This window comes from Homo sapiens, chromosome 2, assembly GCF_000001405.40.
Source record: "Homo sapiens chromosome 2, GRCh38.p14 Primary Assembly".
NCBI lineage: Eukaryota > Metazoa > Chordata > Mammalia > Primates > Hominidae > Homo > Homo sapiens.
In genome coordinates this window covers 174,396,951-174,417,473 of record NC_000002.12, presented here as the reverse complement: position 1 = coordinate 174,417,473, position 20,523 = coordinate 174,396,951, and the positions used below count along the sequence as shown (strand labels likewise).

At 38.1% G+C, this 20,523-nt stretch overlaps 1 protein-coding gene across 11 annotated transcripts in view, besides 1 other annotated feature; it reads right to left on the bottom strand.

The window, feature by feature from the left end:
- The window catches only part of SCRN3 (secernin 3), a 34,342-nt gene that overhangs the window by 12,598 nt on the left and 1,221 nt on the right, over positions 1 to 20,523 (bottom strand). For 7 of the 11 annotated variants that reach the window (NM_001412202.1, NM_001412204.1, NM_001412203.1 and 4 more), the window contains exons 2-5: positions 19,032 to 19,199; positions 17,371 to 17,552; positions 16,285 to 16,484; positions 13,159 to 13,371 (exon numbers count right to left, since the gene is read on the bottom strand). In NM_001412202.1, the coding sequence (NP_001399131.1) occupies positions 13,159 to 13,371; positions 16,285 to 16,484; positions 17,371 to 17,552; positions 19,032 to 19,190 (754 nt within the window). In that variant the 5' untranslated portion in view covers positions 19,191 to 19,199. Of the gene's footprint in view, positions 1 to 13,158; positions 13,372 to 16,284; positions 16,485 to 17,370; positions 17,553 to 19,031; positions 19,200 to 20,069; positions 20,139 to 20,523 lie in introns of all 11 variants that reach the window. The other 4 variants (NM_001412208.1, NM_001412206.1, NM_001193528.2 and 1 more) reach the window with 3 other exon arrangements.
- Positions 7,264 to 7,865: an enhancer, noted in NCBI's record as "NANOG-H3K27ac-H3K4me1 hESC enhancer chr2:175274337-175274938 (GRCh37/hg19 assembly coordinates)". NCBI's record gives its function as "activates a minimal SCP1, AML or CMV promoter by ChIP-STARR-seq in naive and primed H9 embryonic stem cells {active_cell/tissue: H9 hESC(naive and primed)}" and the evidence as "EXISTENCE:reporter gene assay evidence [ECO:0000049][PMID:30033119]".

The window sequence follows — 20,523 nt, the reverse complement described above, 5'->3', positions numbered from 1 at the left end:
TGCAGTGAGCTGAGATCATGCTACTGCATTCCAGCCCAGTCGACAGTGTAAGACTCTGCCTCAAAAAAAAAGAATAATATAATTAAATCATTTAGCACAGTATCTGGCCCTTGATAAAAGCACTTAATAAATGGGAGTAGGTGTTGCTGCAACAGCTACTCCTGATCTACTTTTTTTTTCTTTTTTTAAATTTTGAGTTCCGGGATACATGTGCAGGACATGCAGGTTTGTTACATGGGTAAACGTGTGCCATGGTGGTTTGCTGCACCTATCAACCCATCACCTAGGTATTACGCCCCACATGCATTAGCTATTTTTCCTGATGCTCTCCTTTTACAATAAGTCTAAAATTAAAATCCTTAGTATAACATGCTTTAGCATTTTCTACATATCTATCTACATGGGGGAAAAAGATAGTTTAGATAACCTATTTATTAAACTATAACATTAAGAAACTTTACAGAAAACTTTTCAAATTATAACATGTTCTTTTGGAAATTAAAATATAAATAAGATATTAACTACTTTGAAAACAATAATGTAAAGGCATTCTATAAATATTCTGTCAAACGTTTTCCTTTTTTTATACTGAGATTGGATTTATTTAAATAGCTGTATTAGCACCAAACAACACTAATAATAAAAAGTAAAAGAAACATATATACAGGGGAATGTACTCATAACTTCACGTAAAAAGATCCTTTGCCACTTCCTGTGTACCTGTCAATAAAAGACTGAAAATATCCAACAGCATCAGCTTTATTCTAGAGTCTCACTCTATTTTTGCTACAGGTCTGAGTTAATATCTTGACTTTCAAGTAGATAGGAGTGCCCACCTCCTAAGACTACTCCTACCCTATGCTCCACCCTCAATCACCAACACCTTTTGGGTGAAGTTCTAAACCCAGGAAGGGAAGAGGATGAGTTGTCCTCTCAGACAAAGGAAGATGCAAATCATCCCTCTGGGATGGTTAGGTTATTATCTCAGAGTAGTTGATTCTTCTAAAATGGAAAACTACACTCTTTACCCTCAAATCTTCCATCTATCCTATCTCTACAAATGGCATTTCCAACTGTTCACTGGTTCCCAGCAGAAACCTGGTATTCATTTATGACATCTTTCTCTCTCTAACCTTCACTCTAATTAATTAAGTCCTGTCCATTCTGCCACCAAAGTATATGCCAAATCTGTCCACTTTGCTCCAACTCCATGCCACCACTGCTATTTCTGGGCTAGCTAACCTTTAAGAAAATTAGAGAAAGGAGCCTCTTCTTTGGGGCAGATAGTGGGGCTGGATTTCAGCCCTACTTACCCCCTTGTGCAGGGCATGATCTCCATAACCTTGCTTGGTGGCCCTGGACCCCAGACCAAGCCATCCTGTACTGTTGTAATCAATTCCTTAATGTTTTGGCCACACCCTCATAATAACTACCATATAATTTGTTTAATGAATACATGAGAAGCAAATATCAATCACTGATCCATCTCAGAGTAGTTGCTTTCTGACCGCTTTATAGAACCATTTACCAGCCAGGCACAATGGCTCGCACCTGTAATCTCAGCACTTTGATAGGCCAAGGTGGGCAGATGGTTTGAGCCCAGGAATTCGACACCACCCTGAACAACATGGTGAAACCCTAGCTCTACAAAAAATACAAAAATTAGCCTAGCATGGTAGTGCACACCTGGAATCCCAGCTATTTGGGAGGTTGAGGCACGAGAATAGCTTGAACCCAGGAGGCAGAGGTTGCAGTGAGCTGAGATTACGCCACTGCACTCCAGCCTGAGTATTGGATCGAGACATTGTCTCAAAAAAAATTTTTTTAATACAAACATTTTATCCTTCAAGTGAAGGAGGGTATATTAATCACATTTTTATTAGTAGCATGACCCTTTTAGCAATTATCTGCCACTCAGTAATCTAAATAAAGCTTACTTTGCTGGAATTATTTGGAAGCAAAAGGAGAAAATACATTGGAAGTTATTTTTTAAGAGTTAGTAATAACCCAACATGAAAATGGGAAAAGGATACATTAATAAACAACTCACAAAGCAATTACAAATTTTCAGTAAATGTAAGAATATATCTAATTTCACTAAAAAAAATATTAAAATTGTAACATGCCATTTTTTTTCTTATTTCTCTTTGTGGGTACATAGTAGGTGTATATATTTACATGCCATTTTGCCTACAAAATTTATAAAGGTTGAAAAAAAATCCTCTATTGATAAGCATGTTAGAAAATGGGTACTCAAATATTATTGGCAGTAATTTAAATTTATGTAACTTTTCTGGTGGTCATTTAACAATGTGTTTCAAAAACCTTCAAATGTACATAAGCTTTGACCTGACATTCTACTACAAACTCATTTTTAGAAAATAGTCATGGGGCTGGGTGCGGTGGCTTGGCTGGGTGCAGTGGCTCACGCCTATAATCCCAGCACTTTGGGAGGCCAAGGTGGGCGGCTCATTTGAGGTCAGTTAAGTTAGAGACCAGCCTGGCCAACACGGTGAAACCCATCTCTACAAAAAATAAAAAAATTAGCCAGGCGTGGTGGCAGGCACCTGTAATCCCAGCTACTTGGGAGGCTGAGGCAGGAGAATCGCTGGAATCCAGGAGGCAGAGGTTGCAGTGAGCTGAGATGGTGCCACTGCATTCCAGCCTGGGGGACACAGCAAGACTCTGTCTCAAAAAAAAAAAAAAAAGAAAATAGAAAAGAAAATAGTCATGGATATGAATATAAATAAGCTATAAGCATGTTATATAATTTCAATAATGAAAAACTAAAAATAACCCAAATAACAGGGATTTGATAGCTAAAGTATGATTCATACAATCAATCTTTATTATACAATGATTAAAATACTACCATAAGGGAATAACAAAATAATAGGATACTACATATCTGTTTTAAAAAATGAGAATGTTCTGTATATATTGAAACAGAATGATCTACATCATATATTGCTAACTGATCTACATCGTATATTGCTAACTAAAGTTATGTGGAGAAAAGTGTAAATAGCATGCTATCATTTCTGTAAAAAAAGAAAAATTACATATTTGTTTCATTAAGCATATATCATCTCTGGAAGAACACATAAGGAACTGCATATGGGAAAAAAAACTAAGTATCTCAGGACAGGGTAGGAAAGAGAGACTTCATTGTATAATCTTGTGTACTTTAGAATTTTGAATCATGTGAATATATTAATTTTTATAAGTAAAATAATATCATAGAATATTAAATGGCATGGGAAGGAGTTCTACTTTCAATGTGGCTAAGTGAGCTCCTATCAGGCCAATCCTCCCGCAGATAACTATCAACTTGGGACAAAATACAGAAAAACAACTACCTGAAGGCTCTTTACAATTAACAAATGAAGTAACATTCTGGAGGAAAGGTGAAAGTTGGGAGACAGAATGAAGCATAGGGTAAGTTTATTTTTGTTATGGCTTTAGCTTGAGGGAAGCCCATGGTCAATGCTGTGTCATTCTATGCAGACAGCAATAGAAAACTTTGGTCTTTCTGGCCTGAAGAACCAGACCTCAACCACAAGCAGTAGGAAGTGAGGGGGCAGGCTGGGTGCGGTGGCTCACACCTGTAATCCCAGCACTTTGGGAGGCCTAGGTGGGTGGAACATCTGAGGTCAGGAGTTCGAGACCAGCCTGACCAATATGGTGAAACCCCATCTCTACTAAAAATACAAAAATTAGCTGGGCATGGTGACATGTGCCTGTAGTCCCAGCTATTCAAGAGGCTGACACAAGAGAATTGCTTGAACCCGGGAGGAGGAGGTTGCAGTGAGCCAAGATCGTACCACTGCACTCCAGCTTGGGTAACAGAGCAAAACTCTGTCTCAAAAAAAAAAAAAAAAAAAAAAGGAAAGACAAAAAAAAAGAAAAGTGAGGGGGCAATCCCATAAAAGAGAGAGTCAGAGAGGAGAATTCCCAAATTCTATGTAAAAGAACTGCCCAAATCTCCATCTGATTGCTGATTAAGCATGTGTGGGGCAGACTGCAAGCAGCTCAGCTAAGGATAAAAGAGCTAAACTGAAATTTGAGTTGCCAACCAAGAGACAGAATTTGCAGGCTGAGTACAACCAACTAAAGTAGCTGCTAAAACAAGAATTATCTATTTGTTCTTAGGTGAATTTTGGTGATTTGTAGCTTTCAAGGAACTGGTTCATTTCCTCAGAAATCATGGTTTTGAGCCATCTTTTGTGGACTAGATTCCCATGTCAGTTGTTTACAAAACCTTTTTGCAGTGCTCTTTTGCTGTCCTAAAAGAGCACTATCGGCCGGGTGTGGTGGCTCATGCCCGTAATCCCAGCACTTTGGGAGGCCGAGACGGGTGGATCACCTGAGGTCGGGAGTTCAAGACCAGCCTGACCAACATGGAGAAACCCCATCTCTACTAAAAAAAATTACAAAATTAGCCGGGTGTGGTGGCACATGCCTGTAATCCCAGCTACTAGGGAGTCTGAGGCAGGAGAATCGCTTGAACCCGGGGAGGCAGAGGTTGTGGTGAGCTGAGATCGCGCCATTGCAATCCAGCCTGGGCAACAAGAGTGAAACCCCATCTCAAAAAAAAAAAAAAAAAAAAAAAAGCACTATATGGAAACTGAGCAGTTGTCTACTCTATAGGTTAGTTCTCAAAGGCTTTGGTATGCTGTTTAGGGTCAGATACACCTATGTGCAGCTTAGGGTAGGCCCAAGCATTCTTACACAACTTCATGGGATTTCTTTCCTGAGCTACTTCTGCTCCTCAATTCTCCCTGACATTCTGGCTTCCAGGGATCCCCCTTCCAGGTCCTCTAGCTAGAACAACAGAGCCTTGGTGGTCTCCCTTCTTTGCCCAACTGCTTCCCACATCTGGGTCTGCCTCTGAAGCCAAGAGGCAGGAAAACAGAGAGAGGGCAAAAAGCAACAGAATTTCTCCTGTGGTATTTGGACCACAATTCCTCTAGATGGGAGAGAATTCCCTTCCTTCAGAGTTTTAGATGCCTCCCAGCAGCTGCTACCCTCATCACATAACCATCACAAGATTGCAGATTCAGGACTGGAGTTTGCCTGGGAGCTGGGACAAGACAGAAAGAAAGCAGAAAAAAAAAAAAAATTCCCAGGAGATTTCTCCCATGCTATGTCTTGTTGGTGCCCACCTTCCCTCTCCTCAGACAAGAAAAAGAAGGTTTCTCTTGGAGCTCTTTCTGTTGACACCCAGTACACGGTTCTGGGATTCATGCTGTTTAACACAAGGCTGGATGAAATGAGAAAAACAAGAACAACAACAACCATGAAACTCACTCCTGGATCATTCCTACTTTGACTTCTGGTTTTTTTTTTGCCCTGCTAACTGCTCCGTTTTACTTTTAAGACTCCTCCGAAAGCTGTTCCATGCATTCTTTCCAGATTTTTAGTTATATTCAGAGAGAGAGAGACAGAGTAGAGTTTACTTATTCCATCTTACCCGCAACGAGAACCAGCTTCCATTAAATGTTAATGAACTATACTCTAATTATTTAATTTTTAATTAAAAAAATTTTTTTTGAGACAGAGCCTGGCTCTGACACCCAGGCTGGAGTGCAGTGGTGCAATCTCGGCTCATTGCAACCTCTGCCTCCCAGGTTCAAGCGATTCTCCTGCCTCAGCCTCCCAAGTAGCTGGGATTACAGGTGCCTGCACCATACCTGGCTAATTTTTGTATTTTTAGTAGAGACGGGGTTTCACCATATTGGCCAGGGTGGTCTCGAACTCCTGACCTCAAATGAACTGCCCTCCTTGGCCTTCCAAAGTGCTGGGATTACATACGTGAGCCACAGAACCCAGCCACTCTAATTATTATTATAAAGATGCTAAACGTGCTTAACGATTTTTTAAAAACTTGAAAGTAAAGAATAGAGAAATGGGAGTTATACAGAACGAACCAATGGAACTTGTAGAGATTAAAATTATAATAACAAATCAAAATATTACTAGATGAGATTAACAGCAGATTAAATCATGCAGAAGAAAAGAGAAGTGAACTTGAGGACATTACAGTAGAAACTATCATAATAGTCGTAGAAACTACATCTTCAACTGAACCCCCATGTAACAAATATTTTCAGTGGCAAATACATGTAGATTCATTATAGCAGATTTCCCATTTGGATGGGAAATTTGAGTAAAATATAAATATCTGTCATACCAAATATTCATATAGTGGGTATAGAAATACAGGTATGCTGGGATCTTGTCTGGTTTACTGGTTACAAACCAGTGTTTGTTCCTCACCAGGTAGCTCCAGGTGAGCCCACAAAATAAATGTGGCTGAGAGTTCAATCTCTCACAAGAAACTGTATTGATCCACATCCTGGAGCAGCAGGCAGCTCAGTTCCATCCTAAACTCTGGGTAGGGAGTGGAGTAGCATTTTTCAGACTCATAGCCGTAATAAGGAGTCCAGTTCCTGCTCCCCAAATGGATCTTTTTCACCTGTACACCTACATTCTCATGGATGTTAACACTCTAGCCTCTAAGGTGTATATCTGGTCCAGAATCCCCCAACTGACACAGAGATGAGGAGGATTGTGTGGGCCCTCTCTTCATTTTTGGTACCTGGTGATTTTCTCTTCTTGTATTTGAACTTAGCTATATATGTCTTGAATGTTTAAATATTTTATTCAACATTTCTCAAGTTTTGGAGTGGAAAGAGGGAATTCCTATATCTGCTCAGTTTGTCTTCTGGCCAGAAGTTCTATATACAAGAAAATAACTGATAAGAGTACTACCCAAAAATAAATAACAGCAGCAGCAGCAATAGTCAAAGAAGCCTGTCTCCAGGTTGCAATGAATTCTCAGAAGAAAAGTAATCTCAATTTTGTTTTAAGAATATTAATAAGAACTGAAAAAATGCATCTGAGCATTGAAAATCTGAACTTGACCTTCAAAAGAATCATGACCCTCTCACAATTGTATAATACTTACCTCAAAAAATAGGTTTATTCTGGAGGAGCCAAGATGGCCGAATAGGAACAGCTCTGGTCTACAGCTCCCAGCGTGAGCGACGCAGAAGAGGGGTGATTTCTGCATTTCCATCTGAGGTACCGGGTTCATCTCACTAGGGAGTGCCAGACAGTGGGCGCAGGCCAGTGGGAGCGCGCACCGTGCGCGAGCCGAAGCAGGGCGAGGCATTGCCTCACCTGGGAAGCGCAAGGGGTCAGGGAGTTCCCTTTCCGAGTCAAAGAAAGGGGTGACGGACGCACCTGGAAAATCGGGTCACTCCCACCCGAATATTGCGCTTTTCAGACCGGCTTAAAAAACGGCGCACCACGAGACTATATCCCACACCTGGCTCGGAGGGTCCTACGCCCACGGAATCTCGCTGATTGCTAGCACAGCGGTCTGAGATCAAACTGCAAGGCGGCAGCGAGGCTGGGGGAGGGGCACCCGCCATTGCCCAGGCTTGCTTAGGTAAACAAAGCAGCCGGGAAGCTCGAACTGGGTGGAGCCCACCACAGCTCAAGGAGGCCTGCCTGCCTCTGTAGGCTCCACCTCTGGGGGCAGGGCACAGACAAACAAAAAGACAGCAGTAACCTCTACAGACTTAAATGTCCCTGTCTGACAGCTTTGAAGAGAGCAGTGGTTCTCCCAGCACGCAGCTGGAGATCTGAGAACCGGCAGACTGCCTGCTCAAGTGGGTCCCTGACCCCTGACCCCCGAGCAGCCTAACTGGGAGGCACCTCCCAGCAGGGGCACACTGACACCTCACACGGCAGGGTATTCCAACAGACCTGCAGCTGAGGGTCCTGTCTGTTAGAAGGAAAACTAACAAACAGAAAGGACATCCACACCGAAAACCCATCTGTACATCACCATCATCAAAGACCAAAAGTAGATAAAACCACAAAGATGGGGAAAAAACAGAACAGAAAAACTGGAAACTCTAAAACGCAGAGCGTCTCTCCTCCTCCAAAGGAACGCAGTTCCTCACCAGCAACAGAACAAAGCTGGATGGAGAATGACTTTGACGAGCTGAGAGAAGAAGGCTTCAGACGATCAAATTACTCTGAGCTACGGGAGGACATTCAAACCAAAGGCAAAGAAGTTAAAAACTTTGAAAAAAATTTAGAAGAATGTATAACTAGAATAACCAATACAGAGAAGTGCGTAAAGGAGCTGATGGAGCTGAAAACCAAGGCTCGAGAACTACGTGAAGAATGCAGAAGCCTCAGGAGCCGACGCGATCAACTGGAAGAAAGGGTATCAGCAATGGAAGATGAAATGAATGAAATGAAGCGAGAAGGGAAGTTTAGAGAAAAAAGAATAAAAAGAAATGAGCAAAGCCTCCAAGAAATATGGGACTATGTGAAAAGACCAAATCTACATCTGATTGGTGTACCTGAAAGTGATGGGGAGAATGGAACCAAGTTGGAAAACACTCTGCAGGATATTATCCAGGAGAACTTCCCCAATCTAGCAAGGCAGGCCAACGTTCAGATTCAGGAAATACAGAGAACGCCACAAAGATACTCCTCGAGAAGAGCAACTCCAAGACACATAATTGTCAGATTCACCAAAGTTGAAATGAAGGAAAAAATGTTAAGGGCAGCCAGAGAGAAAGGTCGGGTTACCCTCAAAGGGAAGCCCATCAGACTAACAGCAGATCTCTCGGCAGAAACCCTACAAGCCAGAAGAGAGTGGGGGCCAATATTCAACATTCTTAAACAAAAGAATTTTCAACCCAGAATTTCATATCCAGCCAAACTAAGCTTCATAAGTGAAGGAGAAATAAAATACTTTACAGACAAGCAAATGCTGACCGATTTTGTCACCACCAGGCCTGCCCTAAAAGAGCTCCTGAAGGAAGCGCTAAACATGGAAAGGAACAACCGGTACCAGCCGCTGCAAAATCATGCCAAAATGTAAAGACCACCGAGACTAGGAAGAAACTGCATCAACTAACGAGCAAAATCACCAGCTATCATCATAATGACAGGATCAAATTCACACATAACAATATTAACTTTAAATATAAATGGACTAAATTCTCCAATTAAAAGACACAGACTGGCAAATTGGATAGAGTCAAGATCCATCAGTGTGCTGTATTCAGGAAACCCATCTCACGTGCAGAGACACACATAGGCTCAAAATAAAAGGATGGAGGAAGATCTACCAAGCAAATGGAAAACAAAAAAAGGCAGGGGTTGCAATCCTAGTCTCTGATAAAACAGACTTTAAACCAACAAAGATCAAAAGAGACAAAGAAGGCCATTACATAATGGTAAAGGGATCAATTCAACAAGAAGAGCTAACTATCCTAAATATATATGCACCCAATACAGGAGCACCCAGATTCATAAAGCAAGTCCTGAGTGACCTACAAAGAGACTTAGACTCCCACACATTAATAATGGGAGACTTTAACACCCCACTGTCAACATTAGACAGATCAATGAGACAGAAAGTCAACAAGGATACCCAGGAATTGAACTCAGCTCTGCACCAAGCGGACCTAATAGACATCTACAGAACTCTCCACCCCAAATCAACAGAATATACATTTTTTTCAGCACCACACCACACCTATTCCAAAATTGACCACATACTTGGAAGTAAAGCTCTCCTCAGCAAATGTAAAAGAACAGAAATTATAACAAACTATCTCTCAGACCACAGTGCAATCAAACTAGAACTCAGGATTAAGAATCCCACTCAAAGCCGCTCAACTACATGGAAACTGAACAACCTGCTCCTGAATGACTACTGGGTACATAACGAAATGAAGGCAGAAATAAAGATGTTCTTTGAAACCAACGAGAAGAAAGACACAACATACCAGAATCTCTGGGACGCATTCAAAGCAGTGTGTAGAGGGAAATTTATAGCACTAAATGCCCACAAGAGAAAGCAGGAAAGATCCAAAATTGACACCCTAACATCACAATTAAAAGAACTAGAAAAGCAAGAGCAAACACATTCAAAAGCTAGCAGAAGGCAAGAAATAACTAAAATCAGAGCAGAACTGAAGGAAATAGAGACACAAAAAACCCTTCAAAAAATCAATGAATCCAGGAGCTGGTTTTTTGAAAGGATCAACAAAATTGATAGACCGCTAGCAAGACTAATAAAGAAAAAAAGAGAGAAGAATCAAATAGACACAATAAAAAATGATAAAGGGGATATCACCACCGATCCCACAGAAATACAAACTACCATCAGAGAATACTACAAACACCTCTACGCAAATAAACTAGAAAATCTAGAAGAAATGGATAAATTCCTCGACACATACACTCTCCCAAGACTAAACTAGGAAGAAGTTGAATCTCTGAATAGACCAATAACAGGAGCTGAAATTGTGGCAATAATCAATAGTTTACCAACCAAAAAGAGTCCAGGACCAGATGGATTCACAGCCGAATTCTACCAGAGGTACAAGGAGGAACTGGTACCATTCCTTCTGAAACTATTCCAATCAATAGAAAAAGAGGGAATCCTCCCTAACTCATTTTATGAGGCCAGCATCATTCTGATACCAAAGCTGGGCAGAGACACAACCAAAAAAGAGAATTTTAGACCAATATCCTTGATGAACATTGATGCAAAAATCCTCAATAAAATACTGTCAAACCAAATCCAGCAGCACATCAAAAAGCTTATCCACCATGATCAAGTGGGCTTCATCCCTGGGATGCAAGGCTGGTTCAATATACGCAAATCAATAAATGTAATCCAGCATATAAACAGAGCCAAAGACAAAAACCACATGATTATCTCAATAGAGGCAGAAAAAGCCTTTGACAAAATTCAACAACCCTTCATGCTAAAACCTCTCAATAAATTAGGTATTGATGGGACATATTTCAAAATGATAAGAGCTATCTCTGACAAACCCACAGCCAATATCATACTGAATGGGCAAAAACTGGAAGCATTTCCTTTGAAAACTGGCACAAGACAGGGATGCCCTCTCTGACCACTCCTATTCAACATAGTGTTGGAAGTTCTGGCCAGGGCAATTAGGCAGGAGAAGGAAATAAAGGGTATTCAATTAGGAAAAGAGGAAGTCAAATTGTCCCTGTTTGCAGACGACATGATTGTATATCTAGAAAACCCCATTGTCTCAGCCCAAAATCTCCTTAAGCTGATAAGCAACTTCAGCAAAGTCTCAGGATACAAAATCAATGTGCACAAATCACAAGCATTCCTATACACCAATAACAGACAAACAGAGAGCCAAATCATGAGTGAACTCCCATTCACAATTGCTTCAAAGAGAATAAAATACCTAGGAATCCAACTTACAAGGGATGTGAAGGACCTCTTCAAGGAGAACTACAAACCACTGCTCAAAGAAATAAAAGAGGATACAAACAAATGGAAGAACATTCCATGCTTATGGGTAGGAAGAATCAATATTGTGAAAATGGCCATACTGCCCAAGGTAATTTACAGATTCAATGCCATCCCCATCAAGCTACCAATGACTTTCTTCACAGAATTGGAAAAAACTACTTTAAAGTTCATATGGAACCAAAAAAGAGCCCGCATCGCCAAGTCAATCCTAAGCCAAAAGAACAAAGCTGGAGGAATCACACTACCTGACTTCAAACTATACTACAAGGCTACAGTAACCAAAACAGCATGGTACTGGTACCAAAACAGAGATATAGATCAATGGAACAGAACAGAGCCCTCAGAAATAACACCACATAACTACAACTATCTGATCTTTGACAAACCTGAGAAAAACAAGCAATGGGGAAAGGATTCCCTATTTAATAAATGGTGCTGGGAAAACTGGCTAGCCATATGTAGGAAGCTGAAACTGGATCCCTCCCTTACACCTTATACAAAAATCAATTCAAGATGGATTAAAGACTTAAACTTTAGACCTAAAACCATAAAAACCCTAGAAGAAAACCTAGGCATTACCATTCAGGACATAGGCATGGGCAAGGACTTCATGTCTAAAACACCAAAAGCAATGGCAACAAAAGACAAAATTGACAAATGGGATCTAATTAAACTAAAGAGCTTCTGCACAGCAAAAGAAACTACCATCAGAGTGAACAGGCAACCTACAAAATGGGAGAAAATTTTCGCAACCTACTCATCTGACAAAGGGCTAATATCCAGAATCTACAATGAACTCAAACAAATGTACAAGAAAAAAACAAACAACCCCATCAAAAAGTGGGCGAAGGACATGAACAGACACTTCTCAAAAGAAGACATTTATGCAGCCAAAAAACACATGAAAAAATGCTCATCATCACTGGCCATCAGAGAAATGCAAATCAAAACCACTATGAGATACCATCTCACACCAGTTAGAATGGCAATCATTAAAAAGTCAGGAAACAACAGGTGCTGGAGAGGATGTGGAGAAATAGGAACACTTTTACACTGTTGGTGGGACTGTAAACTAGTTCAACCATTGTGGAAGTCAGTGTGGCAATTCCTCAGGGATCTAGAACTAGAAATACCATTTGACCCAGCCATCCCATTACTGGGTATATACCCAAATGACTATAAATCATGCTGCTATAAAGACACATGCACAGGTATGTTTATTGCGGCATTATTCACAATAGCAAAGACTTGGAACCAACCCAAATGTCCAACAATGATAGACTGGATTAAGAAAATGTGGCACATATACACCATGGAATACTATGCAGCCATAAAAAATGATGAGTTCGTGTCCTTTGTAGGGACATGGATGAAATTGGAAATCATCATTCTCAGTAAACTATCGCAAGAACAAAAAACCAAACACCGCATATTCTCACTCATAGGTGGGAATTGAACAATGAGATCACATGGACACAGGAAGGGGAATATCACACTCTGGGGACTGTGGTGGGGTGGGGGGAGGGGGGAGGGATAGCATTGGGAGATATACCTAATGCTAGATGACGAGTTAGTGGGTGCAGTGCACCAGCATGGCACATGTATACATATGTAACTAACCTGCACAATGTGCACATGTACCCTAAAACTTAAAGTATAATAAAAAAAAAATAGGTTTATAATAAATATTTTTCATTTTAATAGAACAATATTTTTACTAATTATAATTCCCCAAAACAGATGTTATCATTCCCATATTACATCTACACAAAATGTAGTTTGTCATCCTAATATTATTTATATGATAAAATTACCTTTGTGCTTATTTAGAAGCTTGTAGCCCTCACAGTATCTGCCTGATGAAGTCATCATCTTGGCTGTGTCAAGATAGGAATATGCTGCAGCAAAATCAAACTCCTTTTTACCATCCCACCAACCTTTCCGCTTAGCATAGTTTCTCATGTCTGGGTGTTCCCGGGCAATCTTGGTTGTTATGGAAAGTTGATTAGAAATATTACGAACTCCCTCTATTTTCAAAGAAGAAGAGGAGAAAGGAGAAGAAAAGTCATATTTAACATAAAGCATGTATCTGTATATCATGATTCCTAATCACTATGTAAACATAAATATAGACTTCTAAATTTTGTGCCATGGGCATCTATTACATATTCAAAAAGATAAATGAATTACTTTTAAAATTAAACTGATTTTAAGATAATTATAGATTCACATGCAGTTATAAAAAAATAATACTGAGAGATACTGTGTACCCTTTACCCAGTTTCCCCCAATGGTAACATCTTGCCAAACTGTAGTATAATATCACAACCAGAATATTGGTATTGCTATAGTCAAGATAAAGAATACTTCCATCACCACAAGGATCCCTCATGTTGCCCTTTTATAGCCACACCTACTTATCTCCCACCCCAAATCCTTCATTAACCTCAGGTAACAGCTATTCTGTTCTCCATTTCTATAACTGTAATTTCAAGAATGTTATATAAATGGAATAATATGTAAGCTTTTGGTTTTACTGAGCACAATTCGCTAAAGATTCATCTATGTTATTGTATATATCAATAGTTTATTATTTTTATTGGTGAGTAATATTCCATGGTATGAATGTATGATAACTTGCTTACTTATTCACAAGGTAAAGGATATCTGAATTGTTCCTAGTTTTTGGTCATCATGGAAAAAGCTGCTATACTTGCGTACAGGTTCTTGTGTAAATGTATGTAAGTTTTTATTTCTCTGGGATAAATGCACAGGAGTACAGTTGCTAAGTTGTATGGTAGTTGCATGTTTAGTTTTTTTTTTTTAACTGACAAACTATTTTCTAGAGTGGCTAGCTGTACATTCTTACCTTTATTTCAGTCACTGTGATAGAGGTGTAGTAAAATCTCTTTGGGGTTTTGCATTTCCCTAATGGCTAATAATGTTGAACATCATTTCATGCTTATTTCAAATCTGTATATCCCTTTGGGTGAAATGACTCTTCATATCTTTTGCCTATTTTCTAACTGGATTTTTTTTTTTTTACTACTGAGTTTTGACTGCTCTTTATATATTCCAGATAGTAGTCCTTTCTATAAATTTTTTTAAATTATAAATAAGTCTAGAACCAAAATATATGACTTCCAAAAATATTATGGCATGAAGCTATAAACAAAGTTTTCAACTAAAATACAAAATAGAAAAAATAAAAGCCTGTCTTAGAGATTATACTAAATGAAACAGATCACGATAAACAAAAATCGATAATGTTTTAAAAACAGCTGAAATGACAGTCTGTCAAGTAAAAATCAATGAAATTACTCTAATGAGGTCATACTTGGGATACCCTCATTACAAAAACCAGATCCAAGTCATGAAAGAATCAGATGGAAGAATTTTCTTTTCTTTCTTTCCCCTTCTCCTTCCCTCTTTTCTTTTCTTTCAACAGGGTCTCACTCTCTCGCCCAGGCTAGAGTACAGTGGCATAATAATAGCTCACTGCAGCCTCGACCTCCTGGGTTCAAGCTATCCTCCCCACCTCAGCCTCTTGAGTAGCTGGAACTATAGGTACACACCACCACACTCAGCTAATTTTCGTATTTTTTGTAGAATTGAGGTCTCACTGTGTTGCCCAAGCTGGTCTCACACTCCTGGGCTGAAGTGATCCTCCTGCCTCAGCCTCTCAAAGTGCTGGGATTATAGGCATGAGCCACCATGCCCAGCCAATAATTTTCCATCTAATAAATAATTCCCTATCATTTAACAATTTAGTTCTTGGGCTTAGTTAGTAATAGAAAGAGAAAACAATTGGCAAAATTAATCTACAGCTAGACAATGAGACCCAATGAAGGTGTTCATTTTAGATGGCCAGGTGGCACTTTTTCAACAAAATGTATTTATTCAGTTCTCTCTTGCACGTAGTACATTTAATAAAATAAAAGTGCTCAATGGTATTATCAAGCCAATTATCACAAAAAGAAAAAGTCTAACTACAATGTTATATATTAATAAACATATATGCAAAACATAAAACAAAATGTCCGTCAAAACAACTGGTAATGACCTGTTTTGAAAAATAACACCCAAATCCTCCAAAGTTCAAGGCTACCTTCATGAAGCCTTTCTGAACTCCTCTAGCTCACGATAATAACCTTTCTGTTCTCTAAATGTTCAAATCATCTATGTGTCTGTATCATTCGTGCACCATTTAACATTTTCACATGTGTATCTTATCTCTCTAGTAAACTAGGAGTCCAGAAGTTAAATACCCGAGAAGGACATGATTATGCTTAAACATAAGGCTATGTTCTAGTGATGAGATTCAAGATGAAAAGATTTAAATTCTAGGTCTTTCATTTACCACCTTAAATCACTTTACATCTCTGGCTTTCCTCACTTGAAAAATTAGAGGAATATATGATCACAAAGAAAATGAGAATGAAAAATCAAAGCATTCTAAAACAATCAAATAATGTTGTTTTATTCAAAGATATCAAACTTTTGTGTTTTACTATTGTATCAACACAGCTTTTTCAACCACCAACTCACAAACACCTGTCTCTAACCCCACTCCCATTTCCTCACCTCCACACTTACACATAAGATTTTGGAGTGCAGCCCAAAGTTTAAAGGGGAAGAAATTGTAAGGGATTATTAAAGTGAAAAAGTACTATGAAATGGCCAAGAGCTGCAGCAAAGAAAGTATATACAGGTTATATGAAATTCATATTCCCAGAGGTAATGCTACCTTTTTATCTTTTTCAAGAAAGCTCTTTATGGCACTTTTTCACTGTTCTTTCAAATTTTTAAATTTCCCTTGCAGTTCAACCCTTCATTACACTAGATTATTAATCTTGGAAGCAATTAAATGCAATATCTATAGGTAAGGGTGTATTTTATTAATTGCAAAAACAAGTTAAATCACAAAAAGTTGTCCATACCTTGTACTTTTTCTGCTGCCCAGTACTTCCCTGCAGTCTCCAGAATCCAGGCTTCATTCCTATCAGCTATCAGGAAACTGTTGTGATAGCTAAATACCATTCTACCCTCTGTGCAATTTCCACCCTGGCCATATTTTTCTAGTAAGTCAACAATGACATTGAGGGCTTTTTCAGCTGTATCAGCTCTTTCAAGGCCAAGTCTAAAACAAAAATATAAAGTTCTCATATTAAAATAAATTTCCATTATTTTTTTTAAATAATTTCATGCTCATGAGATTTTTTAGATTCAAAGTAAAATTTCTTCCAAGTTAACAGATGAAATGACATCTAACTTTAAAACTTTTCCTTCTGAAGTCAGTTTGGAATCATGGAAATAAAGTTTCTGGAGTCAAACAAACCTATCAAATTCGAAGTTGGTAATTCACTGTCAAGTTACTTTATCTCTGAACCTCAGATATCTCATTTGTAAAATGAGCACGATAGCCCATGAGGTTATTGTGAGAATTAGTTAAGGTGTGATTAAAGTATGTTAGGTACTTCCAATGAATTATAATTTCCTACTTCTTCCCTTCTCCCAAATAATAATATCTGAAAGCTGGGCATGGTGCCTGTGCTGGTAATCCCAGTTACTCAGGAGCTGAGGCAGGAGAATGGCTAGAGGCCAGGAGTTCAAGACAAGTATAAGCAACATAGCAAGACCCTAGTCTCTGAAAAAAAAATTTTTTTTAATTAAAAATTAGCCAGGTGTGGTGGCACGTGCCTTTGATCCAAGCTACTTGGGTGACTTAGGTGGGATGATTGCTTGAGCTCAGGAATTCAAGGGCACAGTGAGCCATGATCACACCATTATACTCCAGCCTGCATGACACAGTGAGATCTCATCTCAAAAAAATAAAAATTAATTAATTTTAAAAAACCAAACAAAACTGAGAGTCATGAAATTGCATGCCGGTACTTTAAACCATTTTGACACAAACTGCAAAGTATCAAAGCCCCCTCAAAAATAGGAAAATAAAACAAGTAAGAGTTACACAAAAATTATAAATTTAGACAAGGTCTGTAGTATAAAATGTAACAAAAAATAACCTGACAAGGTCCATTCCTAATAGTGCTTCTTCATCACAAACTTCTTCTCTTCCCCATACAGCTTCATTCCCAATGCAAACTCCATGCTCATTGGCTCCCATTTCTGCCCCCCACAACCACGCTGGGCGACTCAGGACAACAGCATATGTTTCAGGAACTTGATCAATTTCTATATATGTACACTGTAAAAAAAAAAAAAAAAAAGTCATAGCAAGAACCACAAAACCAGAAAAGTTATCAAAATCCAGAATTTAAAAAAATCAGTCAGAAGACAAAACTGTTATGAAAGAGGTAAAGGAAATATAAGTAAATTGAAATTTTCAATAATAAAGGCATTACCCTTAAAACATATTCAGAATAACCCTAAAATATTTATTCATTCAAATATTTGCTGAGCATTTCCTATTATAAAACATTCTGCCAAGAGATATGTTAGTTACAAAGATGAATCAGATAAAGATCTCACTTTTGAGAAACTAAAACTTCTACATTAAGATAAAATAAAGTATAAAGTATTAGGGTCATGAAGTGAAGACAAGGTGCTATTGGAGCTCAGGAGAAAGATGGTCTCTAGCTGTAATATCTTGAAACATTTTTGTAGATGTGTGAGTTGAAGCTTAAGGAAGTAGTTCTCAACCTCAATATCCAGTGTTTCTTGATTAGTGATATAATTACTCACATGGTAGCCTTCGAATACAAGAGTTTTGTCATAGGAATCTCACATCACATTTTGAAGTCAACCATTAGGTATGCCCACAGCAATGAAAAGAATGAGAACCACTGGTTTACAGGACAGGCTATATTTAAATATGAAGAAATAAAGTGGAAGTGGTATCACAGATGAATAAGTGGTCTTAGCAAAAGAAAAAAATATGGCATAGGATACAGAAAAAAGTCTAATATTTAATATGTTTTAATATTAGAATATCAATAAAATAAAATCTAAAAAGTATGAATTAGCAACAATAGCATAATTTGAAGCTCTCATTTTAAGTTCCACATTAAATGGGTTTTTAAAATAAGTTTTTAAAGGATCCTTTAATTAATGTGTATACTACCAAGTGACTGCATAAAATGTATATTGATAGTGTTAACATAGGGCCTAATAAACCTTTTTTGATGTGTCATAAAACTGTCATTCCTAAAGTCTGGGATGACTTTCCTATTCTACATCAAGTAGAACCTAAGCCAATTCAGAATCAGAATCCTTTTTGTCCATCAAATTCCAGCTAACTCCAAGCTGAATTAAATGTTCATTCTCTTCCGCTGCCACAGCATGCTACTGTTACTTAAATTTAGCATTTAAACCATCCTATTTTATAATGGGGTATAATGCATACACATCTTATTGCTATACTAGACTCTAAGCTCCTGGAACAGAGTCTTGACAGCTGACTTTAAATCTCTTGCCCTATCTAACATGCTTGCATATGGAAAGCATTCAAATATTTATTCAAACAATGGATAATTTTATTATTGTTATTTCAACGTCCTCCGAATCACTGAAATAAAAGATCACAGTTTATTTCTGACTCATTTATTTTTCAAATGTAAACTCCTCAATTTTAACTTCTACAGTTTCTTCCAAATTGCTATGTATAGAAATAACTTTATGATATTTTTAAAAGGCATATTGCTAACAAAACATTTATTTCACCTACCTTAAGACGTTCTCCCAGGTTATCATGAACTACAGCAGGAAAATAAACCACCTCTTGTACTTCATCATAGAGTCTATCTGAATTTTTTCCAAAAATAATCCTGTTATCGACTGTTGCTGGAGGTAATGCCACGAAAGTGTCACAGGAAAAAGGTTCCATTTTTTTTAACTAAAAATTATACAGATGTTTTAAAATAAAAAGAACACTTTTAAGTATATAAAAATAAAGAGTTTTACTCAATGACCAAAGGATATTATTGCCATATCTAATTAAGGATGTTCATTAAAGCTTTGATTTTTTTATTTTTATTTTTTGGAGACAAGGTCTAGCTCTTTCACCCAGGCTGGAGTGCAGTTGTATGATCAGGGCTTACTGCAGCCTGGAACTCCTGGGCTCAGGAGATCCTCCCCCTTCTGCCTCCCAAAGCCCTGGGATTACAGGCATGAGTGACCGTGCTTGGCTGTTCATTAAAGTTTTAAATTTTGTATACTACAGCCTAAAAATCAGTAAGAATATGACTTGGGACTCAATCTGGTACTACAACTCAGTAAGAAAATGGCAATGAGAACTACCTTCTTCTACTGTATAGTTCACATTTATTCTCTAAGACCTTTCTCTCCTAAAGTCTTCCCTGAATTTCGTTTCACCATTTCCATATTTGGGAATCCGTGTACCTAGCTCTATTGTTGTAAAGGCTAGATTCCATTACATTCGTGTATATATAAATCCCTTTACTGGACAATGAGATCCTTGAGGGCTGGGAGTATGTCTTACTAATCTTTATATTCTCTTTGCTGGAACTTGTCTTATGGAAAAAAATCTTACGTGCCCAGTACTTCCTCAAAGGAAGGAAGAAGGGGTCTTATTTGAGCTGGGAAATAATACACATTATAATTCTGATGAGACTGAAATTTTGAAACAGACTCATTGATTCAGACAAAAATATGTCAATATAATTCCAAATTGCTGATATTTCTAGGAGAAAGTTCACATATTTAATTTATAAATCGCAATTATATACTTTAATATCTAGATTACCTCTTCAGTTGTAACTTGGAAAATCTTAGATCTTCACTTATAATAGAACACCTAAAGGTCCTTATTTTGCTGCCAGAACAGACACATTGTTTTACAGAGTTTCCTTCTTTCCTTTAATAATGGCAAAACCTTAAAATGGCTTTACACAGGCAGATGCTAGCAACTTAAAAACAAAATTTAAATATAATAAATGTTTCCTTAAAAAGAAAAGAAAATGACTAAATAAAAACTTCAGACTGAAACTCTTAAGGGTTTTCCTCTTCTCCTCAGTGACGAGAAGTCTGATGTCTTGATGGCTTCTGTTATTTTCTTTCTGTATTTCAACTCTTATGTCCTGGATCTCCTTCTATTTGTGTTTTATAGTTAGTTCTATCACTATATAACTTTGGCAGACTATTTAATCTCTCTCTTACCTATGCCTTCTGCCTCATCAGAAAAATAAGACACTATTTGA